The sequence below is a fragment of the Homo sapiens genome, chromosome 5, assembly GCF_000001405.40.
Source record: "Homo sapiens chromosome 5, GRCh38.p14 Primary Assembly".
Classification (NCBI taxonomy): domain Eukaryota; kingdom Metazoa; phylum Chordata; class Mammalia; order Primates; family Hominidae; genus Homo; species Homo sapiens.
Window position 1 is genome coordinate 40045100 of NC_000005.10, and position 10716 is coordinate 40055815.

Genomic DNA, 10716 nt, shown 5'->3' on the forward strand with positions numbered 1-10716 from the left:
GAACATGTGTATGACCTATTTTTAAAACCATAGCATTTTTTCTTGGTATGTTTCCGTGATTGGAATCAATTTTGTAAGTGCATGCTACAAAGTGACAAGAATCACTCAATTTTTGTTGTTGTTGTGGATGATTATCAACAATATTCCAGTGGGAGGTACTGTAATTGGTATTGCTCTGTAAAACAGAATTATGCATATAACACGTGTTTGTGAAACCTACTGCATATCCAGCCCAACACAGATGTACTTGCTATACAGACTATTGTTAAGCATATGTTTTGCTTCAGAAGATAAAGCTAAAAGAATAAAAAAAGATAATTTCTGGAAAAAAACATTGTTCAAACAATATAGAACTAAATTATAAAATTTTAGTATAATTTATATGTTGTTTCAAATACAGCTAAATATTTATGAACTAGCAAAGTCAGGTGAAAATTCATGAGGAAGATAGAATGGGTTTTAGCTTTGAAAATGAAGAAGAAAAAGAGGAAGAAGAGAAAGGAAGAAGAAGGAGGAGGAAGAAGAAACGGATATAAATAGAGCATATGCTTACGTGAAGCATTGTGCTTTGCACAGGTTATCTCGTTTAGTCTTCAAAGAGCATTATAAGAAATACAATTTTCTTAATTTTATAGATAAGTAAACCTACCTGTAAGAAAGATAGGATTCCAACCCTGCCACACTGTTTTCAGATTTATTTTATTCTCATTTTCTGCCCTAATTCTAATAATCAGATAATTTTGGGTAAGACCATCAAAGATGATTAATACACACACACACACACACACACACACACACACACACACACACACACACAAACACCCCACCAGATTGCCCAGAATTTCCTTTCCTAATTGACTGTACTGTTCTCTATCCATTTGTCAAGAGTTGGCTGGTTCATCTTGAACACCCTAATATCAAGCATTTGTCGAATTATGAGTAAGACTGCCAAGAATTTTTAAATTGCCAAAAAATCTAAACATGTATCAGAATAAACTGGGAGCTTGTGAAAACTACAGATTCATAGATCTTCAAGCTCCAGGTATTTTCATTTTATTTGTCAAGAAATTTCTTAAAATCTGTGGTTTACAGAAATTCTCACTAACGCAGCCTTGCTAGAAGAGCACTTGAGATTAATAGCTTGTACCTTACCCATGGATCCGTTGTCCCAAGTCTTAGCTAACTCTACTAACATAATCTCTCTCAAGTCATATCATCTCTGAGGCCATTCTTTTATTCACTTCACAGGCAAACTTTTAATGATGACCACCTATGAGTCAGCCACTGTGCCAAACTCTGAAATTTAAAGAAAGTGCCTTCTTTTACAATGTTCATTATTGACAGAGAGAGATAGTGAGCCAAAAAGCACAGTCCAGTAGGTATCAGAGTTGGTTTATGCCTAAGGATTGGAGAGATCATATAAGAGGGACATTGCAATTTCCTGGCTTCCATCACTTTCATTGGCTCTTCCTTTTGGTGTTTCTTCCCATGCAGTCTTCTGGAGGTTTTATTTACATCATTTCATTTAATCTTTACAACACTATCAAAAAGACAAACAGTAGTAATTTCTTAGGATAAGGAAACTATGACTAAGAGGAATTTAAACAATTATCCAAATATATACACCTAAATAATAGAGAGAGCATGCAAAACAACAGCTGTCCAAAAGTAAAAAACTATACCCTTTACACTTTGCAAATTGCCAACAATGTTGAAGAGGTTTATCTCAGAAAGTGAATAGTACAGCCAATCCTTTGTCCCAGGCAACAGCTTGAATTTTAAGCTCTTCTCCGAGTTTGAATAAGTAACACATCCAGTCAATTTGAACAGTGTATGTCTTGCTTGGTGAGCAATGAGTTATTTTACAGTGACTAGAATTCAAAGTCAGACACAGCCTCCTTCATTGTTGGCTCACATTTGCTTTGGCCTCTGGTATGAGTCAAACCACAACTCATGTTCTTTTCCCAGGAAGCCATTTCATTTCCTTTCATTAGAACCTGTGCCCATATTGTTTGCACATTGCTGTTCATAAAATATTTTGTGGTGTATCAAGAAAATAAAATTGCAGATTAAAAGACTGAACTGAAATTATATCATATTCAAGCAAATCCTTCCTCCATAAGGTAAAATATTTGCTGTAGTACTAGTGAATCTTATTTATCAATGTTAAGGTTAAAACTAAGACCTGATTTTAAATCTCACAGCTAGGGTCTACTTTGAAAGAATTAAAAGCCCAGTGAGAGGATCTCATTCTTGTTTATGGCTGAATAGTACTCCATTGTGTGTGTGTACTACATTTTCTTTATCCATTCATCTGTTGATGGATACTTGGGGTGGCTTCCATATCGTGCCTATTGTGAATAGTGCTGCAATGAACATGGAATGCAGACATTTATTTGATATAGTGATTTCTTTAGGTGACACATGTATTTAAATGTAGCATGAGATCAAGATTACATAGCTTTAATGGAGCAAAGTTTAAAACTACCATTCAGAGCTAGCATTTCATCATGGGTATTTGAGTGAAGACAGTGAATCAAGGGAGCATGATCTTGGGGATTAGATTTGAAATTCAAACATTTACTACCACTACTTGAAGAGGGGTAGAGGGAAGACAGTCATAAGGGTTGAAATATAAGTGTTGAGGTATATGAGAACTATGGATTGTGTATGTGCATTTGATTTCCAATTCACCTGCTGTTTTTCATTTTTGTCTCCCGATAATAGACTTTTCCTTCTTGAGATACTGCCACCGGGAATCAAGTAGTAAAAACACACACCACTGGAATCCAGTATCAAAACCACATAAATAAGAAATATATGTGAACTTCTTGCTAATTAGAAAACACTTGGCCAAGCACAGTAGCTCACATCTGTAATCTCAGCACTTTGGGAAGCTGACATGGGATGATCACTTGAGCCCACAAGTTCGAGACCAGCCTGGGCAATGTAGGGAGTTCCCGTGTCTACAAATAATTTTAAAAATTAGCTGTGCCTGGTGGCATGCACCTATGGTCCCAGCAACTTGGGAGGCTGTGGCAGAAGGACCCTCTGAGCCCTGAGCCCAGGAGGTTAAGGCTGCAGTGAGCCGTGATCATGCTACTGCACTCTAGCTTGGGAAACAGAGCAAAATCCTGTCTCAAAAAAAAAAGAAAAAGAAAAGAAAGAAAAAAAAAGAAAAAGAAAAAAGAAAAGAACAGTGTATGTTTAATTTTTAAAATGTACTCCTAACATAGAAAAATTTCCCAGATATTTGAAGCATTCTGAAGTCTTACCAAATATCCCAAAAGAAATGCTAAACTAAAATTCATACCTAATAAATTCCAGCTATTTCCCAGAATTAATCTGATGGGTCATAGCAAAAAAAAGTTTTAATATTTTATGTAACAAACAATTCTTTTTTCATTTTCCTGGTAGATTAATTCAGCCTGACCTCACTACTAACAAATTCTGCTTCAAATAATTTTTGTTTTTCTTTGTTCTTGAAGTTTAGGAATGAATTCTCTTCACTCATTTTATTCAATTTCTCCAATAGTTTTATTCATATTATCTGATAATAAAATAACGTAATTCCGTTTTTATCTTGTGCAACCATACCAATAATTTATTGTAAGGAATTTGAAATACAAAAACTTTTGAATACAAATAATCATGGCTAGAGCTGCTAGTGAATAAGATATGAGCAATTTCATTGAAAGCCTATTCTGAGGACTAAGATTTGGGATAGAGATAGCCAAGAACATGGAAAACATCTATCAGACAAAGAATAATTCACAAAGATTGTTCAAAGTGTTATGGGAAAGTTTCTATCAGATTTTGAGAAATCAGAAAGGTCTCATGGAGAAGCTGACATTTCATTTTTAAAAAATTATTTGAGAGAGAAATAGAATGTGTCAAAACAAATAAGAGGTGAGAGTTATGGTCTAGAAGGAGATAGTATCAGCAAAGGTTCAAAGAAAAAAGGAAAAGAAAATGTGCATTTAGGGAGATCAAGGCATTCATTTCCTCCTTGGTATTCTCTACTTACCACTACCTGGAATTTGTCACAATATGTAGTGGTCTTTTATTTATGTCTTTCTCCTCGTAAGACTATGTGCTGTTCAAAAACGAAGACCTTATTTTATCTTTATACCTTCACAATTTATATCTATATAATTTCCAGTATATAGGAAGTTATTTATGTTATTGAATAAAAAATGAATGAATGAATATTTCAGTCCAAAAGAGATGTAAGGGAATGGTTGGTGACAAGGATAAAAGAAAAGATTGAAGTAATAATGTTGTAAAAAGGAAGAGGTGAATAATCACTGAAGGATTTTGAGTAAAAATTTGGTGTAAATGAACAATGCTTTAGAAAAATAGCCTGACTGCATCAAGAAGACTATACTGAAATGGATATAAATTGAAGGAAGGAAGAAGTCCAGTTCAAAAGTATAAGTAATAATTTCAGTCAGAATCAAGTTAGTAGCCATGAACATGGGCTTGTGGAAGGCAATGCTCTACCAGAGTTGTAGAAATGGTTCTGCTGCCTGCCTCCTTTGCCCCACAGAAATGAAAGATATGCCTCTAAGGGCCTACACCTATGAAAGCATGGCCTGGTCATGAGTTAGATGTTTCCCTCACAACAATGTGAGGATTGAAAATAGTCTCTAGGCCTGGGGTAGACTCATTCCTTTGGACATAACCATCTATTTATGTCCACAGTTGTCTCCTTCTGTGGCCTGCCTGTCCGATTGCTTTCTTCCTGGGCCTCTGATGCTCACTTCAGTTTCCTCACAAAAGTATATTTTGGCTCTATACCTTACCCTGGGCAGTCAGCACTCCACTTTCATACTCTGTATTCTGCCAGACTAATTCTCCAGAAAATGGTGGTGCTCATAGTCTGATAACATCCTTGCTGATATAGGACTCAGGTACCCATATGATACTGATGAATGATACACTCCAAAACATGCAAATTGAATTCCTGCTTTATTCTAGAACAGACAATAGATCATTATTGGCCTTGACCTAATGATCTGAAGAACTGGTTGCCCTGGCTTTTTGCTTGTCTTTCGTTAAAAACTTCCCTATACCACATGGGCAAGCCATCCCTTATAACAGGTATGATTAATAGACTTCAGCAACAGATTAAATACAACACACCACAGTTTCTGGAATAAAAAAAATCAATCTGAGATTTTTAGTTTGCTTAGTTGAGAAAATGACAGTTTCCTTAACAGAATAGAGGTGAGAAAGGGAAAATATGAGGATGGCAGATGGGAGGAGAGCAATAAGTTTGATTTCAGATGTCATAAACTTGAGATGTTAAGTTACAACTAGACCTAGTTGCAAAAGAATGGTTGGAACTTAGAGGAAAAGTCAAGTCTAAATATTCATATTTTTAATTAAATAATAAAGATGCAGAGACTTAATTAAATCACACTTATGGTAATTGAATGGTCAATAATACAAAGAAAATGAGTTCACAAAGAAATAAAGGAGATAGAGGAAAATCTTAGTAAATGATTAGGGAAAGTTGGGAGAAGAGAGACTGAACAGAAGCTAAGAAAAAATGATTTCAGAAAAAATATATAAACTATATCAAATTTCCCAAATAAGTCAAGGATAAAGATTTGTTGTTGATGTCTAGAGCTTGGAGTTGATCTTTGTGGGAACATTTTCAGGAATGTGACAAGAATGAAAGCCAGGTTGAAGGAGACAAAGCAGTGAGAGTCAACAAGATGGAGTCGAAAGTCTGCCCAAGTTTCAAGAACTTTGGTATTGAATCAAAGAGGAAAAGAGGGTATAATTCAAAAGGGAATTGGATTGGGATGAAGTTTTCTCTTCTTTAGAATAGGAAAAGCTTTGAACACTTTTGTCAGCAGTGGAGAAACCAGCAGAGAAGAAGTGACAGAAGACATTGAAAAAACATCAGGAAAATGGATGAGCAAAATTCCAGAGAAACTGAGAAGCAGGGATCTGTAATTGTCTTCTCAAAGACAGCAACAAATCAAAGAAGGGAGACCAAGATTTATAGAGGCTTTAGGAAATTAGAAGTAAAGCAGAGAGCTCAGGTAAAATGATAATAAACTAGTCGAATATAAAAAGCCTGAGACAATCAGGAATAACTAGGGTCATCTTCTAAAATGACATTTCAAGTATGTTGTCATTTCAAATAATAAAATAACAGCCTTCTTTAATCCAAAATTCAACCAAGGTGTGTATTGCCTTAACATATGGATTTGAAAAGTTAGATTGATTTAATGCAAGATCATGCTTTCATGTTTACATTTGCCAGGAGCCCAGCATACAAAAAATACTTAATACATATTTGTTCCTAAGTAAATTGGTAAAACAAAAACACAAATAGTTTATATTTTTTAATAGATGGTTAGCCTTAACTACCCACATACTTATTATACAAACACACAGAGAACTATATGTATACTTGTTGGGTGACTGCATAGCTCATGGAGGGGGGCCACTCTCATCACCTAAGTCACAGAACCCCAAATTCTCAACACTTGCAATAGGGTAAGTTGTAATCCTAAAGTAGCTTGTAATACTTGCATGAATCACCTTCACAATGGACTGCATCTGGTTTTTATCCATAGGTACATCATTCCCCAAACAGTATCACATTCCAAGTTAACTAAATATCTGGATTGAATAGGTGAGAATATAAGAGTTCCTTCCCTGTTGTTACAGTTTGAATGTATTCTCCAAATTTTCACATGTTGAAAACATAATCTCTCCATCCTCATGAATAGATTAATGTCATTATCAGGGGAGTGTGTTTGTTATTACAGGAGTGGCTTTGTTATAAAAGCAAGCTCTCTCTGACTCTCTTCTCTTGCCTCCTAACCGTGTGATGCTCTCCACCCTGTTACGAGGCAACAAGCAAGTCTTCACCAGATGTAGCCCCCTCGACTTTGGACTTTCCAGCCTCCAGAACATTGAACTTAATAAACTTCTTTTCTTTATAAATTACCCTGTTTGTGGCATTTTGTTAAAGCAACAGAAAATGAACCAACACTTCTCACTGTCTTCTCCACAGCCACTACATGAGAAATTCAATTCCAAATCACTGCTGTTAGTCCTAAGTGGTGTGGAGCTCATCAAGTCAGCTTACCCATGTATGAATTAACTAATCATAATAAACAAAGTTACTCTTCTTTATAAAATAACTTATTTTATAAATTCTTTAGGCACTTGCTAAAACGAATAGAAAAAAATGAGGACCACCATCAATTCCAACATTGAGAACTCGTATTTTAGTTGGAAAGAAATGCACACAGTTTGGAATCCTATGTAATCAAGATAAGAGAACAACAATTTTCCAAATGCTTTCCGTGGGCCAGCGTGGAAACTTAACTCTCTCACACAGACAACGAGGTAAGTATTATCTCACTTCACAGAGGAAAAAACTGAGTTTCAAAAGAAGTAATTTGTTCAAGTTTTAGATGCCTGTTAAGTGGCTACACATGCATTTGGTTCTCCAACTACCCCACACTGCTAAAGTAGCAGAGCTGTTTTTTTTTTTTTTTTTTTTTTTGAGAGAGTCTCACTCTGTTGCCACGTTGGAGTGCAGTGGTGTGATCTTGGCTCACTGCAACCTCTGCCTCCTGGGTTCAAGTGATACTCATGCCTCAGCCTCCTGAGTAGCTGGGATTGCAGGCACACACCACCACACCCATCAAATTTTTGTATTTTTAGTAGAGACAGGGCTTCACCATTTCATTGAATAGGAGTTTACTAGGTAAAGTTTTACGGAAGAAAAAGTCAAGATAGTTCTGAAATCTTAGTTATTTTATCCTCTGTGAAGCACTCCCTCTCTAAATAGATTCTGATTCTCTGTTTTGTGTAGATTACACTCTGACACCAAGCCCTGCCCTTGTGGGAAGTATGATAAGCCTCAAGGCAAACAATTCTTCCTTCGCGATTGCAGTCTGGGCACCTGATGATATAGAATGACTCATTGGACTCCTGCCTCTTCTACTTCATTCTTACCATGAGCTCCCCTAGAAGATGTAGTCTTCCACCGTTACCAAAATCTGCAACCAGAAAGATCAAGCTCTAGGAAGCAGTACACACTATACTCCTGTGTGGAAACAAAGTAATCCTCATCAGATCATCTAACTTGCTGTTGCTGTAAGGACTGTGAATTGGTAGCAATAAATAAGCCATGGGAAATAGGAGGGAAAACACCATCAATGACAATAAAAACTGAATGTGAAATTTGACTACCTGAGTTTAATTTATAGTTCTGTCTCTTTCTAGCTGTGTGACCATAAATGAGTTACTTATCTCTCTACATCTTAAACTTTTCAGGATTGTGTGCATTCAAAAGAAACAATGGCATTATAATGTATGTGAAGCACTGACAAAGAATACCTGGGACACAGTAGGTGCTCAAAAATAATATCCGTTAACACCAAGAGGAGCATACCTTCTGGCAGGAAATTTAAGACATCTATAAACTGCACATATATATTAAGTGTCATATAAATAAAACAAAATTTCTGTAATGGGGAGGGAGGGCCTGGGATTAAGCTTTCTGTCACTCTGCAGAGAACCCTTGAACATGTAAAATACCCCCTTACTTTTTACCAGAAACCCAGAACTTTGTGAGGGGATGAAAAACAAGAGCCCTTCTTATTTGTTCCCTGTGAATTTAGCTTGAGTTTCTGATATTTGACCCCTGCCATAGATTCAATCTGTTTCCATTTAGATCTGTCCATCTGTCCTGAATCTCTTGACACTGATCTGCCCAACCTACTTGCTGTCTTCATCCTCCGGGTTGGAAAGAATCTAGATTCTTCAGAGTGTCTACTGTTTATACACTACTTCTTTCCAGGCCAGCTTCTGTCTGTGAGTTCCTGTCTGAGTGCCTCATAGCTGATTTTGTACTTTTCGCTAAGTCCAGTTTCCATTCCTGGTTTCTTCTATTCTGCCCTGCCCGTGACCTAATCAGTGCCCATTTTTATAACCAGACTTTTTTGTGCCACTTAAAATTCCTGACTTTCTTCCCAAACCTGTTCATTGTAATCCTCAGATTCTTCAGCATCAACAAAGGAGCCATCAATGCTGTGGATTCCCCCTCATTCCCTAGAAGCCTGTAACACATTATTCCAGGCATCTGACCCAGAATGTGCAGACTCATTCCTTGCATTGCCTGGTCTTCCAAAATCTATTATCTCCTTTCCTGCAAGCACAGGAGCCCTGTTGTGGTGAGAAATCACCAAAGCCATCCTATTTGGCTATCTCCCAGGTTACAGGCTTTGACAAAGTAGCAATGACCATCTTGAAGGAGCAGTCAACCTCCCGATGGAAAGAATTGCTCTTGGAATTGAAATGAAAAAGCATATGTGGTCAATTAGCATAAATTTTGGGATAATTTTTTTCACCAGATCACCTAATTGCTATACTCTACTGTTTAGTGAGCTTGATTAAAAGACAGTGGAGTGAGCACAAGTTTTAGTCGGGTTATGTTGTAAAAATTTTTTTTTTAAAAGAAACTGACACCTACCTTGAGGGTTAACGTGAATTGTATTAGTTTCTTACGGCAGAGGTAACAAACTAATGCAAACTGGGTTGTTTACAGAAATAAAAATTTATTCTCACATAGTTCTAGAGGCCAGAGCCTGAAATCAAGGTGTCAGCAGAGTTGGTGCCTTCTGGAGGTTCTGGGAGAGAAATCATCCCATGCCTCTCTCCTGGCTTCTGGTGGCGGTTGGCAACCCTTGGCTCACAGGTCACCACTATACTGTCTACCTCCGTCATCATGTGGCATTCATCCTAGGCATGTCTCTGTATCTTTGTTTGCTCTTCATATAAGGACACCAGTTATTGTATTAGGACCCACCTTAATCCAATATATCCTCATCTTAACCTAATTACATCTGCAAAGATCCCATTTTCAAATAAGGTCACAGGGTGAAGTTCCAGGTAGACATCATTCGGGAGACACAGTATTCAACCCAGCATATGAATATTAGTGAGAAGGAATATAAAGCACCTAGCAAAATGTCTGGCACACAATTAGGCTTTAATAACTAGTAATTATTGGTACCTGTGGCTTACTAAATTGGCTACTCTGCACTGAGTAATGCTAGAGTGCTGAGTGTGTAGTGAAGGTCAGAGCAATTTACAACCATGTCAGTATATCTTTCTCACTGTTTTTCTCCTAACCCCAGACAATTTAAGTTCAGTGCCCAAGGCAAGTAAATTTAAACCTGAAATCAATCAGTTTGCTCTGGTTTCTTGTAAGCCACGTTAGTACTCCTGAAATATAAGCAGGGAATTAACAGAGCCCTCTAATGCCTTGAATTAAATTTTGAGCCAAACTTCACTGCGTGCTAAAAATAGATTGCCTCATTGTTCACTAGTAAAGGGAGGATCCCTAACTGCTTCAAATTAAGTTGTGAGCTTTTTGTTTGTTTTAATTGCATACTTTTCTCTGTTCAGTCTTTGTGGAGTCCATGGCTGCTACTTCTCTACTGTTTATATAAATTTTATCTTGGTGCTAAAGTGAAAATTGTAGTATTTCTTAGATATAGGGCTTTGTAAGGAAAGAAAAATTACACCTGTTTTCCCAAGAGTTAATTGTGATTATGCTGGGAAACAGGAAACTGAACTGGAAGAATCTAGAGAATCCCTCTAGCAAGGATCTTCTGTTTCTCCTCTTGGACTTGCTGCCATTATCTTTCCCAAGCCAATTTCCAGTTGTTCCTC

The 10716-nt window shown here is 36.9% G+C and overlaps 1 long non-coding RNA gene across 1 annotated transcript; it reads left to right on the forward strand.

The window, feature by feature from the left end:
* Positions 1 to 7191: 7191 nt before the first annotated feature.
* LINC00603 (long intergenic non-protein coding RNA 603) lies at positions 7192 to 8225 on the forward strand. The gene is made up of 2 exons (NR_104633.1): positions 7192 to 7377; positions 7850 to 8225. It is a non-coding gene; the product is annotated as a long intergenic non-protein coding RNA 603 (long non-coding RNA).
* The last annotated feature ends 2491 nt before the right edge of the window (positions 8226 to 10716 follow it).